The sequence below is a fragment of the Homo sapiens genome, chromosome 16 (assembly GCF_000001405.40).
Source record: "Homo sapiens chromosome 16, GRCh38.p14 Primary Assembly".
Classification (NCBI taxonomy): Eukaryota; Metazoa; Chordata; class Mammalia; order Primates; family Hominidae; genus Homo; species Homo sapiens.
In genome coordinates this window covers 84,404,754-84,423,340 of record NC_000016.10, presented here as the reverse complement: position 1 = coordinate 84,423,340, position 18,587 = coordinate 84,404,754, and the positions used below count along the sequence as shown (strand labels likewise).

Here is an 18,587-nt window from a genome sequence, read left to right as displayed (position 1 = left end):
AACGGCCATGGCAACCCCCCTATGATGGCTCCCCTCCATCTGCAGAACAAACCCAGTATGGAAACTGCTTCACTCACCGATTATGCCAAAGGAGAAGAGTGTCAGTTGCTTTCCTAGCCTGTCCATGCTTTTCTGCAAAGGAGTTTTAGGTGTCTGAAAGGGTGAGCACAATGGGTTAGTTGGACAAGATCCTAGCTTCTGCCTGCCTTTGTTCAAAATGTCTTCACCTTGCCATCCTACAGCTTCAGTGATGATTACACAGGGGTACACATATGTCAACATTCATTGACTTTTGCACTGAAGACCTGTGCGTATTACTGTCTGAAAGCTGTATCTTTATCAAAATGCTAACAAATGTCTTACGTGTTTGAAAAGAGGCCAGGTGTGGTGGCTTATGCCTGTAATCCTGGCACTTTGGGAGGCTGAGGCAGACAGATTGCTTGAGCTCAGGAGTTTGAGACCAGCCTGGGCAACATGGCGAAACCCTGTCTCTATTAAAAAAAAAAATTAAATGTTTAAAAAGTATACTCATATGAACCACATGCCACTCATTCCTAAGGAGTAGGCAAGGCTGGTATTATTTGCCTATAATAATCTCAAACTCCAGCTTACAAAAGTCCCGAAGCCCCCTCCTGCCCCTTACCTCTTCAGCCTGCATCATCTTAAACACTTCTCCGAACTGAGAGCTTTCCCCTGTTCCAATCACGACCCCCTGTGTCCAGGAGAGAGAGAAGTATGAAATCTAAGGGCTGGGAGCCTGTGGGTTACGGGAGCCCAAGGCCTCGGTGTCCCAGGGCTTACCTGGCCCCTCCCATACTGCACCAGGGTCCCCATGAAGACGATGTTGCTGAGGGTGGTGAGGTCCCCACCGCCTGTCAAGGGGCTGTCTGTTTTACTACATGGCTCGGCTTCCCCGGTGAAACTGGATTCATCCACCAAGAGGTCCGTGACCTAGGAGAGCAAGGGGAAAAGGCTGTGGAATCTCTCTGTCACCCCGAGAATTGGTGTTAAAAGCACAAAATGGTACCAGCACCTTCATGGACATGAACTCAAGAACACAGTGAACCTACAGAATGAGTGTCACAACGACGGCCTCTGAGGCCTCCAGGATCAGAAAAGCTTTGAATGAGCGGCCTCTCTTAAAAACATAAAAGTCTCATATCTTTGCTTAATGTTGTTCGAAATTTTGATACAATCTAAAAAAAAAATGAAGGTGATGGCTATTTTAGGATATACCTTTCAAAACACCTGTGTGAGTCCCCACATACGCAGCCCACTCTTTACCTTGGAGATGCCTGTACAATCTGTATGGTTCCCACACAATCCCACACAATAACCGAGCCAGGTTATTCAGTCAGAATCTAAGGCAACAGTAACACCAGAAACACAGACAGGGACACAGAGACACTCACACACCCTGGCAAAGGGAAGGGAGATACTGACATTTGCAGAACACTGACTACACACCAGGCCCTGTGCGCAGCTCCCCACAAGGCTTAGCCCTCAGAACTCACCACCCCCAATGGAAGACTCTACTATCTTCCCCATTTTGCATATGGGGAAACTGAAGCATGGAAGAATTAAGTAATTTGTTCAAGTTTCCGTAGCTAGTTAGTGGCAAAACAGAGATTTGAACCGAAGCTCTGGTTCCAGAAACGATACTCTTAACCATCTTGCAAAACCGCAACTTGACCCCAGACTTAACACATCTCACTCCCGAGGTGAGGCTCCCAGGGCCAGAACCGTGCCAGACACCTCTGAGTTCATAAAGCGGGGCTGGGTGGGCCTATCCCTAGGGACCTGGTCATGTAAGCATGTAACACCAAGCTAGAGAGAAGCCATCTTCCACAAACCACCAGAGAACCACAGCTAGATCAATGATTCTCAAACAGGGACCTGCGACTTCTCTATAATTTAAAACTATTTAAATTTAGTAGTCATCTTTTAAAAATATGTGCACTGCCATAGCATCTCAGTCCCCAAGAACGACAGTGGCCGCCTGTCACCCAGGTAATGCCCGTCTCCCCACTTCCTTCCCAGTGGACCCCACAGCGTCAGGGAGGCGAGGCCTCCGGCTGCGCAGTCACATTCCCACCTCCCTGTGGCTCCCGCGGCTCCAGCTCTGGACAATGAAGCATAAGAAGTCACTGAGCGATGCTGAGGAAAGTCTTTGAAGGAGGCTCAAAGAACATTCTGGAAAATACCTGGCTGGGGCTCCTCAAAACTGTCAAGGACGGCCGGGCATGGTGGCTAACACCTGTAATCCCAGCACTTTGGGAGGCCGAGGCAGGCAGATCACTTGAAGTCAGGAGTTCGAGACCAGCCTGGCCAACACAGTGAAACCCTGTCTCTACTAAAAATACAAGAATTAGCCGGGTATGGGGGCAGGCGCCTGTAATCCCAGCTACTCAGGAGGCTGAGGCAGGAGAATCTCTTGAACCCAGGAGGCGGAGGTTGCAGTGAGCCGAGATTGCCCCACTGCACTCCAGCCTGGGTGACAGAGAGAGACTCTGCTCAAAACAAAAACAAAACCGAAACTGTCAAGGTCAAGGTCAAAAACAAGGAACATCAGAAACTGTCACAGCCAACAAGAACCTCAGGAGACATGACCACTAAATGTCAGGTAGGATCCTGGAGCAGAAAAAGGACATTAGGGAAATCTATGGGGATCTGAAAGTGTCACAGACTCAAGGTAACAAGAAGGCATCAATATGGGTTCCTTAGTTGTGACCGATGTACCCAAGTAAGCTAAGGCATTAAAAACAGGAGGGGATCCCGGGTGAGGGGTAGATGGGAACCCTGAGCTGAATTTTCCCACAAATCTAAAACATTTCTAAACAATGAAGTCCTTTAAAAAAAAAAAAAAAAGAAAGAAAGGGAGAGATCAAAGATGACCCCCACCCCGGGAAGAAAACTACGAAGAGAAGGAGGAAGGAGGAGAAGGCGTTTGGAAGAGAGGAGGCACATGGGGTGGGGAGTGAGTGTGGGTTTGGACTGATGGGAAACCTGACCATCCATATCCTCCGATAGGCCAGAGACTCCTCTGGGCACTGGGAATACCGCAGTGAATGGGGTACAATTTCTGCCTCAGGAAGATGATACTCCATGGAGGAGGTGGGGGAAATGACGATAAACAAGCACTGGATCCAACACCAGGGTGTACAGAGCAGGGAGGGAGGCCCCTGAGAAGAGGTGGCTGGGGAAAGGCCTGGGAGGAGGGACAGGGAGCAGAGACCTCCGGGATGAGATAGGTTAAGTCACATGTGCTGGGGGAGGGTTTTAGGTGCCCCCATGGCAGTTGAAAGCGAAAACTTATCAGGCTTTTTGGTCAGCATGAGACAAGTAGCTTGGGCCTCCTTTGCCTAAAACGGCTGTTTTGCGCCAAAAGCTGCTATCTCCAGGAAGCCCTCCCTGAGTGCACCAGGCCAGGCAAGTCTCTCCCATTTGGGAAATCCAGGATTCCCAGTACTTCCACTCATGGGTCCCTTAGCAGTCCTGGAACAGTACTTGTCACGAGTAGATTTAAGTCAGTCTGTCACTCTGGGCTATAAACTCACGAGCACAGGGACCAGGTCTGCTTCCTGCACGGTGTCCTCGGTACCCAGCCCAGGGCCTCATACGTAGTAGGTGCTCAGGAAACACTTGTTGAATGAATGAGCGATGTGGATGGGGAGTGGGGTCGGGGGCCCCAAGGGAAGGGAGGAGGGAGGAGACCTGGAAAAGGGCTGCAGTGTGGCCTGCTGAGTAACGTCCCCCTGCCCCCAGCTTTCCCATGATGTCCGCATCCTAATCCTCAACTTGGGAATGTGTTCTCTGATGTGGTGACAGAGACTATGCAGACGTGACTAACTGAAGGACCTTGGCGTGGGGAGAATATGGTCTGCGTGACCGGGGTGGGCCCCGTGAGATCACGAGGGTCCTCATAAGGGAGGGGAGGACGGAGGGTTGGAGATGTGTCTGATGTCAGGGAGATGTAACAGAAGCAGTGGTGCGGGAACATGGAGCCATGAGCCAAGGAATGCAGGCGGCTTCTAGAAGCTGGGAAAGGCCAGGAAACAGCTTCTCCCCTGGAGCCTCTGCAGGAGCATGGCCCCAGTAGCACTTTTTTTTTTTTTTTTTTTTTTTTTTTTTTAAAGATGGGGTCTCACTCTGTCACCCAGGCTACAGTGCAGTGGTGCAATCTCGGCTCACTAAAACCCCACCTCCCAGGTTCAAGCAATTCTCCTGCCTCAGTCTCCTGAGTAGCTGGGACTACAGGTGCACGCCACCACGCCTGGCTAATTTTTTTATTTTTAGTAGAGACAGGGTTTTGCCATGTTGGCCAGGCTGGTCTCCAACTCCTGACCTCAGGTGATCCACCCACCTCAGCCTCCCAAAGTGCTGGGATTACAGGAGTGAGCCACCGCGCCTGGACCCTGTTAGCACTGTTGATTTCCACCCAGTGAAAACGATTTCAATTTTGACCTCCAGAAGGTCAGACCATATCTTCACCTTGTTTTAAGCCCCTAAGTAAGCGGTCATCTGCCACAGCAGCCATGGGCAACGGATACATGGAGGAAACTCAGGGGGAGAGGCAGTGCCAGGAAGAGTCTGAACAGCTGCTCACAGGGAGAGAGAGAACGTCCTGGGGGTAAGGACATGGGCTGCGGAGCTAGAGGCCCGGGGTCATGTCCCCCTCCACCGCCCACTGCCGTGTGACTGCGCAGGGCCACGCAACCTCTGCGGGCTGCTGTGTCCGTGTAGTAAAATAACGCAGAGGAAAAATAACAGTGCTGGTCTCTTAAGGGTGTTGGGAGAACAAATGAAACAATTTTCATACGGTGGTTAGCATAGACCTGTTATACTGAAAAATATTCGTTGTCTTCATATGACAAAAATAAAGGCAGGTAGAAGATCAGGTGGCACCTCCGGACCAAGAAGGAGTGAAGGTGGTTGTGTGTGGGTTCAGCAGGTGGGCAGGAGGGGCTTCTGGTGACCTCCCAGGCTCCCAGGGCACAATCTCAGGTAAGGGGCAAGGAGGGGTGAGGGGCGAAAATAGAGTCGGGGGAACAGAACCCATAGCCACCAAGGAGGCGGCAGGCCGAGCCTGAAGACAGAGGCACAATCGCGGGCTCACCTCCTATCTCCCACACACAGGGCTCATGCCCACCCGGTGCCCCCACCTCCAAGACGAAGCGTCACTTGGAGTCCCATCACCTCCGACCCAATTCCCTTTTTCTTTTAGACATGGTAGGGGAGAAAGTGTGACCCAGGCTTGCTGGCTGTACCAGCTCAGCCTCTGACTGAGGGCTTCCTCTGTTTTAACTCCAGGAAAGGGAAAATAATGTTCTGGGACCCCCATATACTGTGCAAAAAGGTCTATTACTTTAAGAGCTTTCTTGAACTTGCTGCTTCCTGCTGAACCTGCTAGACCAAAATGGTTTTAAAATGTACACTTGAAGTACTCCTGGATCTCAGAGCTTAATAGCTGATAAGCATTTTCCACTGAATAGGCAAAGCTATTGATTGTTTAATGGAATTGCAGAATACCACCAGGAAAATCCATAGAGTGTTCACAGCCAGTAGCCTTAAAATAACCTTCGTGGTATCAATACACAGGTACAATAGTTTTTGTACAGATGGAGTGTCACTATGTTGCCCAGGCTGGTCTTGAACTCCTGGGCTCAAGCAATCCACTCGCCTTGGCTGCCCAAAGTATTGGGATGACAGGTATGAGCCACTGTGCCCAGCCACAGTTTAATTTAACATAAGCAGGGCAGAGAGAAAGCCAGCTGAAGCAGTAAGGAAGTTACCTGGGGTCTAAAAAGTTGTTTCAAAGAACCGTTGTATAGAACGATAATGATAAAAAATAAAAGCAATCACAAGTATCTGGTGACTGTTTACCCCACAAAAGGCATGTGCTAAGCACAGCATGGGTCATAGCTTGTTTCATCTTCACAATAACCCTGTGAAATGGAAACCAACATCAGCCCCTTTTAGAGATGAGGAGATCGAAGCTCAGAGAGGTGAATTCCTTCCCCGAGTCACGCCCTAGGAGCTATGGGGCCTGGGGTTCTCTGACTTCCAACACACACTGCAGTACGGCAGCCCCCACACCTGCCTCTCACTCACCTGTGCCAGGCACCGTTCTGAGCACTTTTGGCATCTCTGAAGATCTGTAATCCTCCCAAGTACCCTATGGGCATCACCACCCCCCATTTTGCAGATGAGAAAACTGAGGCACAGAGAGGTTAACTAACTTGCTCAAGGTTCACAAGGCTTTGAATGATGGTCCCAGGGCTCAAGCCCAGGCTAATGCCCAACCCCAGGTCATTGGCCACCTCTCATACGGCCTCTCTCTGCCTCTGCACCAGCCCTTGTGGCGGACCTGTGTCCTTCTCACAAGCTGCCTGGCATCTGGAGCATCCCCTGTTAGGACCCCCCTTCTCGGGAGAAGGAAAACGTGGAAAATGTGAGCCCAGCTTCCCCAGTCCTCCTTGTAGGCGGGGATTGGCCACAGACAGCCGTTCCTCTGACCGGATCCATGCACCCCAGACTTGGGGTCAGACGCTGACTGCTGGAGCTGAACACGGGGAGAGGCGGGGGCCACAGAGGATCTGTATCTGGTGCTACAGAGGGCACCAGCCTGAGCCCGAGGGCGAACCCTCCCTCACTTTGGTAACTGAACATCTCCCACCCTTATCCCTGCCCTGCCTGGAAATCTGAAGGTCACGGCAGAGAGGATCAATGTCCGAGTGGCCACACATAAGCCCTGGCCCCTGCCTCCTATTTCACAGACAGGCTAGGAATGTTGTAAACCCAGGTCCCAGGGGGTAGCTTCCAACCCTTTGTGCTCTTCTCCATCCGCTTCCCTGATGCTGCCCTCTTAATAGCGGGTCCTTGATCCTACAGTTCCTGAGAATGCATCCCATCAGTAAATAAATCAGGCAGATAATCTGTGTCTAATTCTTCATCATGCAAAGCTTTGAACAGTCCTTACACATTCTTGGAAAGATTCTTGAAATAGATTACTCCCATCAACAAATCATGGTGAACTTGATGTAACCTCTTGGGAACCCAGGATAATCTCAGCAGAGTGCCTCAGGCATGGCTCTGTGAAGCTGTGACACCCAGAGACCCACGAAGCTTGCCCCACAGCCAATGTCCCCAAACCTCACTACTCTAAAAGCGTGTGCTTCTCGCTCTGTTGCCCAGGCTAGAGTGCAGTGGCGTGGTCTCGGCTCACTGCAACCTCCGCCTCCCGGGTTCAAGTGATTTTCCTGCCTCAGCCTCCTGAGTAGCTGGGACTACAGGCACATGCCACCATGCCTAGCTAATTATTGTATTTTTAGTAGAGAGTTTCACCATGTTGGCCAGGGTGGTCTTGAACTCCTGACCTTAAGTGATCCACCCGCCTCTAATATCACTTCTTTCTAACACTTGTGTGTCTGTTTTGAGAGGCAACTCTCACATCATTCCCCAAGCCCACCTTGGTTTAATTTGTTATTGCAGCCTGCTTTAAACTGGAAAATCGTATAGCCAAAGGTTGTCAGGCTTAAAGTGAGGATGACAATTTATGAAATATGGTTTGAGGGGCTCTATGCGTAGAACACGCTTGTCTGCTAACTTCCTGTCTTGTGTGTATGCATGTGCATGTATGTTTGAGCATGTGTGTATGAGAGAGACTATACATGCCTACAATTAGCTAAGTGTCTGCTCCTTGACCAGCTCCATCAAATACCCCATTGACAAGGGTTTGGAACCACTCACCTCAGTGAGTCGGATGTCTGCAGGGATCCGGTCTCCGATCGAGAGAGATACGACATCACCAGGAACCAGTTCTCGAGCAAGCAGGTGCTGGAGTTTTCCTTCTCTTAGGCTGCATTTGACATGGTAAAAAGCAAAAGCATCCATGCTGACATTTGTTTTTATGCACCTTGATACATTTGAACAAGGAGAATAGAAACACACTTTTCTCTTTTAATATACACCAACCCTGTGCCTTTGGGGTGTTATTATTTTGAAATTAACATATCCTATAAGACTTTAGAGAAAGTATGTGGTTTCTGGGCATCCCTGGGCCACATCTGAAAGATGAGGCCATTGCTGTTTACCCTGCCTGGAAACCACGTGGGCCACATGCCCCAGGGAGGCTCCTGGGGCCAAGGTCAGCAGTTCTAAAGCCTCCAAATGCAGCCGGCAGAGTTTTGTCCTCAGAGCACACAGCACTCAGGGTGCAGGGTCTGTCTCAGGAAGTCAGGGATGGCAGAGCCTTATCACAGCTGGGAGGAAGCCCAGGACCTCCATTCCCGCAGGGCCATGACCAGCTGCCCTCAGACTACGGATATGCTTCCGTACAGGCTCCAAATGGAATCCCCCACACCACCGCCGCTTGCCCGTCCCAGCTGACTCTGACCTCCGACCTGGCCCCTTCAACCCATCCTGCATATGGCAGCTGGAGCGCTCTTAGAACCCCAAACCAGATCCCAACCCCCTCCTGCTCCAAACCCTCCGATGGCTTTCCCATGACCCTGGTACCAAACTCAAAGATCTCCTCCACGGCCAGCCAGCCTCCTGCAGCTCCCATCTCATTCCATCCAGCCCCCTTAAACGCACAGGCTCCTTCTGGCCTCAGGGGCTTTGCAGACCTCAAATGCAGGAGCAGAAATTCCCCTCTTCCTTGTTAATGGAATTTGATCTTGTTGAGGTATCCACCCTCTCCCCACAGCCACGTGCTCTGGGGAGTGGGTCATGCCTGGCTAAGACCCCTGCCCTTGATTGGCTTAGGTATCAGCACATCATGCAACACTGGCCCGAGAGACATGAGTGGATGTTTGCTGGGGGCTTGTGGGAAAAGATTTCCTTACTGTACACGCGCGTGCACGCACACACACACACCCTTCTTCTATAGGGCCTTTGCGTGTTTGGCTGTGATGCAAGGAGCTGTGGCAGCCATCTGGGATCATGAGGAGAGCCAGCCAAGAACCAATGCAACCCCAGTGGGCACAAGGTGGCAGGGTAAGGAGGTGAAAGAACCACGCCCTGGGTGCTCTCCTGAATTAACTAACCCCACGGCTCCCACCTCAGATCCCTGGCTATGAGACAATATACTTTTCTTGGCGTTTGTGCAACTGGACTTTCTGTTCCTTGTAGCCAAGAGCACCTGCCAGAGATATACCTGTTGCTCCCTCAGCTCCTCCCATGGCAGGCTCCTCTTCCTCAGGCCTCAGCTTAAATGTCACCTCCTCTCTAAATGTCAGCCTGATCGACAGCTATTTAGGGTTGTCCTCACCCTTCTACCAGTCACTATTACATCTCAGTGGGGTTTTTTATTTGTTTTGGTGGCCTCCAGTATTTTTTGGCTTTTGTGTACCTGGACAATTCCAAGGTCATCTTGTTCTTCACTGGCTTATTATGTACTCCCTTGGTAGGAATGTGAGGTCCCCAAAGGCCGAGGCCTCCCCATTTCTTCCACTTGTATAACCTCAGTGCCCTTTCTCCAGGCATACAGTAGGTGCTCAATAAATATTTGATGCCTGCACCAGGGATGGAGTAACACAGGGAGGGGGTCCCGCACAGCAGGGTTTCCCCTGAGTTGGAAATGGGTCTCAGAGACTCAAAGGGTGGGCTTCACCTCTTCAGCGCTCTTTCAACTCTACTGGGCTGCCCGACACCGCTGCTTTTGTACATAAAACCGTCTTTTAGAAGTGACCTCCCGGGAGACATCAATAATGCACGCTATTCACCTGAAAGGCCAAGACTCGATATTTAAGCTTAAGATCGGATCATCAAATCACATAAATCATTTATGCTTCCGTTTGCTCAGTTAATGATGTCACATGTCTGGATTTCTGACAGCACTGTTCATCCGACCAGCGAGCCCAGACATTTCTACTGCTCCCGCGGCCCTTCTACAATTGACTCACCCTCTGTGATGTGGGTCAATTCTGTATCATCCTCTTCTTGTCCCTATTTGGTCCTTCGTCATTCTCCGCCTTGTATTATACACACACGCCCCTTGAATGCTGACTCTTTGAGACGCGGGACCGTATCTCACTACGGCTTTCTACCCTAGCCCCATGGCTCAGTTGCACAACATGTGCCTGGGATATATACTAAAGCTCTCCCTGAAAATTATCCTTCAGAAAATACGGAGTTGCCGTATGTTTGCCAAATGTTGGAAATGGGTCTTGGAGACTCAGAGGGTGGGCTGAGTTGTTCCCAGACACCCCAGACCATGAGATACTTTTTTTTTTTTTTTTTGAGACAGAGTTTCGCTCTTATCGCACAGGCTGGAGTACAATGGAGCACTCTTGGCTCACTGCAACCTCCATCTCTGGGTTCAGGCAATTCTCCTGCCTCAGCCTCCCAAGTAGCTGGGATTACAGACACCCACCACCATGCCCAGCTAATTTTTTTTTAATTTTTAGTAGAGACAGAGTTTCACCATGTTGGCCAGGCTGGTCTTGAACTCCTGACCTCAGGTGAGCTGCCTACCTCGGCCTCCCAAAGTGCTGGGATTACAGGTGTGAGCCACCGCGCCCGGCTGATCACAGGATACCTTCTATCACTTTGAGCAGCCAGGTATGTTCGGGAAAGACAGATCAGCCTGACAGGACCTCAACCAATGTTAGCAGGGGTGGGGAGAAGACTTTGGCCTTTTTTGAAATCATTTCATTTTCTACTAGGAGAACGAGCTTATGGACCACTGCTATGCTAAAAGTTAAGCTTAGAATGAGCTGTTTTCCCAGACTGAGCAACATAGTGAAACCCCATCTCCACACACACACATACACACACACACACACACACACGCATACACACACAGACACATGCACACACAGACACACACAGACACATATACACACATGCACACATACACATGCACAGACACACACACGGAGACACAGACACACACATGCATACACACACGCACACACATACACAGACACATGCACAGACACACACAGACACATATACACACACGCACACACACATGCACACACGCACGCAGACACACGCATACAGACACACACGCACACACACGTGCAGACATGCTCACACACACACATACGTGCACACACGTACACACATACATACACACACATACACAATCAGGTTTAAAAAATAAAAATGCAAAAAATGCAGTAACTTTTGTAGCAGCTGATACAAAAAAGTAGTCAGGTGTGGTGGCATGGCATGCACCTGTATTCCCAGCTACTTGGGAAAGTAAGGCAGGAGGATCACTTGAGCCCTGGAGGCAGGCACAGGTTGCAGTGAGCCGAGATCCTGCCACTGCACTCTAGCCTAGGCAACAGAGCCAGACCCTGTCTCAACAACAACAACAACAAAAAGAAAAAGAAAGAAAGGAAGAAAGGAAAAGAAAGAAGAGAAAGGAAAGAAAGAAAAGAAAGAAAAGAAAAGAAAGGAAAGAAAGAAAAGAAAAAGGAAAAAGCTGTTTTCCCTCCTGGGCCTGTCAGCTTCCTCCACCAATGGCAGCTGTTCCTAGAAGGGCCCCCGCAGATGTTCTAAGCTGAGCTGCCCAATATGGTAGCCACTAGGTCCATGTGCATATTTAAATAAAAATTAAAATTAAATAACATTAAGAATTTAGTTTGTCGGCCGGGCACGGTGGCTCACACCTGTAATCCCACTACTTTAGGAGGCTGAGGCAGGCAGATCATCTGAGGTCAGGAGGTCGAGACGAGCCTAGCCAACGTGGCGAAACCCCACCTCTACTAAAAATATAAAAATTAGCCAGGTGTAGTGGTGCATGCCTGTAGTCCCAGCTATTTGGGAGGCTGAGGCAGGAGAACTGCTTGAACCCAGGAGGCGGAGGTTGCAGCGAACTGAGATTGTGCCACTGCACTCCAGCCTGGGCGACAGAGCAAGACTCTATCTTAAAAAACAACAAAAAAAGAATTGTCAGATGCCATATTGGACAGGGCAGATGATATTAATAGAACATTTCCTGCAAGTTCTATCACACAGGGCTACGCTAAGCAGAAAGGGCCATGTGGTACTGGCAGACATTTTAGTCTTGTCTCTTTCCTTGTTAAACATCTTTGGTAAGAGCCGTGCAGTAACCAATGGAAAACTGTGGGCAGGAAAGAGGCTGTTGCAGCTGCTGAGTAGTTACTCAAGTTCACTCTTCCTATACCCTATGCTGCAGCCAATGTTCTGATGGCTCTGCTTGTTAAAGACCTGGATCTCACTCTCCTGAGACCATTCATTGAGAATTCAAATAAACCTCCAGACCCTCTCCCTAGAAAAAATGCACACAGTTCTGCACATTATTTCACAGGCTTTGTGGGCTACCCTCTTCCCAGAGTCACTCCTGCTACCTGTGGTCCTCAGGCTAGGCACCCTGATTTAGACACTGATGATGGAGCTGAGGCCCAGAGAGGTTGAGTGACATGCCCGAGGACACACAGCGACCTATTGGCAGGCGGAGACCAGGCCTTAGAACTCCCAGTGAGATGTGGTTCTCTTGTCCGACACTACCAAGGATACAACTTTCAGCAAACATTTGCCAAACTCTCCAGCTCCCTGGCTCCTCCAGTGAACCAAAAAGTCCCAGGGAGGCTCTGACTTACCAGTTACATTCTGGAGGAACCAGCTTGGTCAGCTCTTCCAGAGATTTCTCCGACCTGTACTCCTGGCAGGAAGCACATCAGATGTGCTGTTTAAAGGTGGGGACTCCATGAAGCTCCTGTCCCGCCCAGCTTACCCTGACTGGGACCTCAGGAAATACTCACCTGGATGAAGGCGACAGTGACCACGACAAGCACTGCCTAGACAGCAAACGGAGGAGGGTGTCAGTACCAGAGGCTCAGTGGGAGGGGGGACAGGGCGTGGCAGGCTAGGGGCTTGTCTTTAATGATTGATTTCCTTTCTTCTTGCAAAACATGTGCACAGTACAGAAATTTAGAAAATATACTAGCCAAAAGAGCAGGAAAAAATTGACACTATCTTTTACCACCCAGACGTGCACATTTCAGAGTACCCATCTAGATTTTTCTGCGTAGACACACTTAAGGCACCGCATCTTATAATCTGGACATATTCTTTTATAAACTGCCATTTTCACTGAACATGCTGCAAACACCCTTCTCCATAGCAGATGTGGAACTTACCCCAGCCTTTTTTCTTCTGAAATGGAATCTTGCTCTGCCACCAGGCTGGAGTGCAGTGGTGTGATCTTGGCTCACTGCAACCTCCGCCTCCCGGTTTCAAGCGATTCTCCTGCCTCGGCCTCCCAAGTAGCTGGGACCACAGGCACATGCCACCATGCCCTGCTAATTTTTTTGTATTTTTTGTAGAGACGGGCTTTCACCATGTGGGCCAGGATGGTCTCGATCTCCTGACCTCGTGATCCACCCCCCAGGCCTCCCAAAGTGCTGGGATTACAGGCATGAGCCACCGCACCCGGCCTACTCCAGCCTTTTAATTGGAAGTAGGAAATTCCATCGTGTGGAATGAGTCTGTGTTTGTATTTTAAAATACCGGCTGGAACAAACGGAAAGAAGTGGGGAATGACAGCCATCAAAAGGTGCTCAGGCCAGGCACAGTGGCTCACGCCTACAATCCCAGCTATTTGGGAGACCAAGGGAGGCGGATCACCTGAGGTCAAGAGGTCGACATCAGCCTGGCCAACACAGGGAAACCTCATCTCTACTAAAAATATAAAAATTAGCAAAAATTAACCAGGAGTGGTGGCGGGCACCTGTAATCCCAGCTGCTCAGAAGGCTGAGGCAGGAGAAGCAGAGGTTGTACTGAGCTGAGATCACGGCACTGCTGTCCAGCCTGGACGACACAGCAAGACTCTGTCTCAAAAAAAGAAAAAAAAATGTGCTCAGGAGAAGCCAGATACAAAAGGTCATGTATTGTCTGAATCCATTTTTTTTTCTTGTTATACTTTAAGTTCTAGGGTACATGTGCACAACGTGCAGGTTTGTTACATAGGTATACATATGCCACGCTGGTTTGCTGCACCCATCAACTCGTCATTTACATTAGGTATTTCTCCTAATGCTATCCCTCCCCCAGCCCCCTGACCCTATGAAAGGCCCGAGTGTGTGATGTTCCCCACCCTGTGTCCATGTGTTCTCATTGTTCAACTCCCACCTATGAGTGAGATCATGCAGTGTTTAGTTTTCTGTCCTTGTGATAGTTTGCTTAGAATGATGGTTTCCAGCTTCATCCATGTCCCTGCAAAGGACATGAACTCATCCGTCTGAATCCATTTCAGTGACATATCCAGAATAGGTCATTCAACCCACAGAGATAGAAAAAGATTGGTGGTTGCCAAGGGCTGGTAGGAGCGGGGACAGGAAGTGACTGTCTGGTGAGCACAGGGTTTCCTTCTGGGTGATGAAAATGTTTTGGAACTAGGCAGAGGTGGTGGTGGCACCATATCATGAATGTACTCAATTTCACTGAATTGTTCACTGTGAAATAGTCAATATTTTATTATGTGAATTTCATCTAAATAAAAAAAAAATGAGTGCTCAGTGGTTACCTCTCGGTAATGGATCAAAGGTGTTGTTCTTCGGAAGGCAAATGTGCACAGCCCAGGCTCTATTCCCCTCATCCCAGGGTCACGGGAAAGGAATTCCCTGCAACACTGCTCTAGCAAAGACCCAGAAGCACCTGTGTGTCCAGCAAGCAAGCAGTGGCCGAATAAACCAGGGCACCTTGATATTAGGGTAAAGAAGGATGTGGATTTGCTTTCCTTTCTTTCTTCTGTATGCTCCTTTTTCCCCCCTACAGCAAACTCTTTTTTTTCTTTATATACAATAACAAGCAGAGACTCAGCAGACCTGTGGCTGCCCGCCCGGGAGCCGAGCGCTGTCAGGGAACTCACCGTGGCGATGCTGACGGCGTCCTCATACTCCTTGGTGAGGACACTCACCAGGGCAGAGCCCAGCAGCAGCAGGATCAGGGGGTTCTTAAACTGAAGAGGAAATAACAGGGTGGGGCACGTTCTTTAGTCTCAGGGACCAGAATGGGTTTCTTACTGTGCAGAAGTTTGTGTGACAGGGGTCTCAGTTCAGGGCCAGGCTTCCAGGTCAACACCATGGTGACCGAGGGCTGGGGAGACCACCCCCATGCAGTGGTCCTCCTCTGCCTGGAACTCCACCCAATTGACCCTCCCAGGTCCCAGTACTGACCCCCTGAAGACACCGGCCTCAGCCCTGCCTTTGAGTTCTTGGTCTCGCCTCTCCACATCTCCATGACGCTCCAGGCCGGGACTTTCGGCAAGATGCCAGTCCTGGCTCAGGACGGCCAAGGATCCTCTCTCACCACACCAGCTCCCCAAATCCTGCACATCCCAGTCACCAAACTCAGTAACAGCCTGCTCCTGTAACAGCCTCTAGGGACTCCAATGATGTCCCTCTCTAAAACAGCCGTTCCCAAAACTTCCTGAGAAGATTTTTACTTTATTTTATATATCTGCCCTTTCATTTCAGAGACATCTCATGGTAGCTCATGTTACAGAGGATTGAAAAGAAATGCAAACACATAAAACCGGATTCAGAAGGCAGACCAAAGATCAGGATAAGGAAGAGAGTTACAATATCAACAAGGGCTGGGTGCAGAGGCTCACACTGTAATCCCAGCCCTTTGGGAGGCAGAAATGGGAGGACTGCTTGAGCCCAGGAGTTTCAGTCCAGCCTGGGAAACACAGCAAAATCCCATCTTTACAAAAAAATGAAAAAATGAGCTGGGCATGGTGAGGTGCACCTGTGGTCCCAACTACTCAGAAGGCTAAGGCAGGAGGATCACTGGGGCCTGGGAAGTTGAGGCTGCAGTCAGCCGTGTTTATGCCGCTGCACTCCTGCTTGGACACCAGAGAAACCCTATCCCAGAATATAACAATAATAATAATGCACCTGGTCTGGGCACCTTGATTCCCAGGCTGCCAGGCTCCTGTCCCCTCAGGGACTCTGCACCCTGCCCTCCAGCGACGCCCTCCATCCACATCCTCACATGGCTTTCCGTCTCATTTCACTCAGATCTCTGCCCAGATGCCACCTCCTCAGAGCACCAGCCTAGTGCCTCCCTGCCATCCCGTCCAGAGCCTTACGCCGTGCTAAGGTAGAATTCCTAATGGTGAGACTCCTGAGACAGAGGAACAGGGCTGCCTTGTGAGGTGATGAGTTCCCTGTCACTGGGGGAAAGATAGGAGAATCACAACACTTGGCATGCAGGAGGAACTCAACACATGTAAGGAATTAATAAGGGAGAGCAGACAGAACCCGTATACGCAAGGGCAGGAAAACCCAGCCGTCAGGAGCTCCCGTCCAGTCCTACAAGGATTCCCACAGATGCATTGCTGAACCGACAAGCTATAAGATGAATGAGCAGGTCCTCTGCTCTCAAGAAATTTAAGAGATTTCATTTTGGGGAACACCCTGGCTGGAGGCTGGAGGAGGATCCTTGGTGAGAAGGAAGATGTTCACGGTGGGTTTCGACAGAGCAGAGGGGAACGAGGAAGGAGGATAACCAGGGGAAGTGGGGGAGCGGGTCCTAGTGGAAGGGGTGCCAGGGCAGAGCAAAGAGATCTCCAGCCGCAGAGGGGAGCTCCTCCCTCACAGCCCATGTCTCGGCCTCCTTCCCTGAACCCCAACTTCCGGGAGCCTCCACTGCCTCTTCTCAGCCCTGCAGTTTTAGGAAGCTTCTGGGCTAGCCAGAACCACCTACATACCCAGAAGCCTATTTTGCTGCCAAAACGCATCGATGAATAACATTCCCAGAACACTGAGAACTGAGCCTTGATCAGGGAGGGGACCTCAAGGAGAGTGGAGACAGAGGATGCTGCCCAGGGGACTGTGATTGGTTCCGGAATCGACCAATGGAGGAAGCTGTAAACACAGAGCCAATAGGAAGGCGGTTGAAGCCTGGGGCAGCCCAGGGGCCAGAGAATGAAGAAGGGGATGTCAGGGATGGGGCCAAGAGCATGCAAAAGGCTGGAAAAGGGGATCTAAGGCCATCTAAATGCCCTCAGGCACCTGGAAAATTCTGCCTGTTCACTGAGCCTTTCTGAACTGGTCCTGCAAAGGTGGCAGGGACTGCCGACTTCTAGAATGGAACTTGGAGCCATGTCAATTGCAGTTTTTTCTTTCCCCTTCTTAGTGGCTTCCAGGCATTTGATTGTGTGCCATTCATTCAGCACCGCGCCAGCACCGATGGCAGCAGCTAGCAAGGGAAGGGGCTCTGGGTGCAGCTCCCTGGCTGCACTGCTCTGCACTGCTCCTCACAGCTATGTGACTTTGGGCTCAGGTTACAGTAGGACACCCAGTAAAATCTAAATTTCAGAAAAACAAGGAACTTTTTGTTTTTAGTATAAGCACGTCCACTGTATTGGGACACACTTATACTAGAAATTGCTTCTTGTTTATCTATCTGAAATTCACTTTGGTTTTGTTGTTGTTGTGGAGACAAGGTCTCACTCTGTTGTCCAGGCTGGAGCACAGTGGCACAATCTCAGTTCACTGCAGCCTCCACCTCCTGGGTTCCAACAATCCTCCCACCTCAGCCTCCTCAGTAGCTGGGATTACAGGCATCCACTACCACATCCGGCTAATTTTTATATTTTTAGAAGAGACGGGGTTTCGCCATGTTGGCCGGGCTGGTCTTGAACTCCTGGGCTCAAGTGATCCACCCGCTTCAGCCGCCCAAAGTGCTTGGATTACAGGCACGAGCCACCACGCCCAGCCTGAAATTGAAATTTAACAGGGCATCCTATATTGTTATTTGCTAAACCTGGCAACTCTGGGGAAATCTTTCAACCTCTGCACTTCTCCTTCCTCATGTGCAAAGGCGGGATTAGGAGGAGGATTAGTAAGCGCATGCTTACTTATTCACTTACTCATATAGCGTGGGGCCCGGGGCCTGCTCAACTGTCTACGAAAGTGATCACTGTTTTTCCTGATCGCGGTTGCCTGGGAGTTGGTGATTTGCTCATGACTGATGCTCAGGCTGGCTGGGGCAGCGTGAAAGGGGCGGGAGCTGTCCAAGGATGCCTTCCATCAACATTGAAAGATGGAATGGCTGCCCCACCCTCGCTGGCTTATGCATGTTAATGCAAAGAATGACACCTCTGGTCCTACCTGATCCAGGTATTTCTTCCACACAGGTTCGCTGTTGTCAGCAACAAACTCATTCCAGCCATGGGCCAGCCGGCGCTGCGTCACCGAGAACTCCGACAGCCCAGTGTGTAAGTCCACCTGGAAGGAGAGGTCAGGCACAAGCTCACTCATGGGCGCAGCAAGGAATGAGGCAACAGGGTACAGACTCCCACTCTGAAAGGCAGCGGCTTCCATGATGGGCCAGGGACACAGGCTTGTCCACCAAGGTGCTGGGACTTGTTCAAAGACCCCGTGCAGATGGGGCAGAGAGAGGAGGAAAAGGCACAAGCCAGTGACCATTATAATTACAGCAGAAAAGACGACTCTGGTCTTAAATTTCAACAAATGGAAATGCAGCATAGACTTCCAGAAATGCAGAAACACATCTTTTCTTCTTAAAAAAAAAAAAAAAAAAAAGGTCTTGGGAATGTAAAATGGTGCAGCTGTTATGGAAACTGTGTGGCGATTCCTCA

The 18,587-nt window shown here is 50.2% G+C and overlaps 1 protein-coding gene across 5 annotated transcripts in view; it reads right to left on the bottom strand.

The window, feature by feature from the left end:
• ATP2C2 (ATPase secretory pathway Ca2+ transporting 2) overlaps nt 1–18,587 on the bottom strand; it is a 95,650-nt gene that overhangs the window by 40,847 nt on the left and 36,216 nt on the right. For 4 of the 5 annotated variants that reach the window (NM_001286527.3, NM_014861.4, XM_011523486.3 and 1 more), the window contains exons 3-10: nt 18,097–18,213; nt 14,847–14,936; nt 12,738–12,773; nt 12,576–12,637; nt 7,750–7,858; nt 802–951; nt 644–712; nt 78–153 (exon numbers count right to left, since the gene is read on the bottom strand). In NM_001286527.3, the coding sequence (NP_001273456.2) occupies nt 78–153; nt 644–712; nt 802–951; nt 7,750–7,858; nt 12,576–12,637; nt 12,738–12,773; nt 14,847–14,936; nt 18,097–18,213 (709 nt within the window). Of the gene's footprint in view, nt 1–77; nt 154–643; nt 713–801; nt 952–7,749; nt 7,859–12,575; nt 12,638–12,737; nt 12,774–14,846; nt 14,937–16,691; nt 16,754–18,096; nt 18,214–18,587 lie in introns of those variants that run through there. The other variant, NM_001291454.2, reaches the window with a different exon arrangement.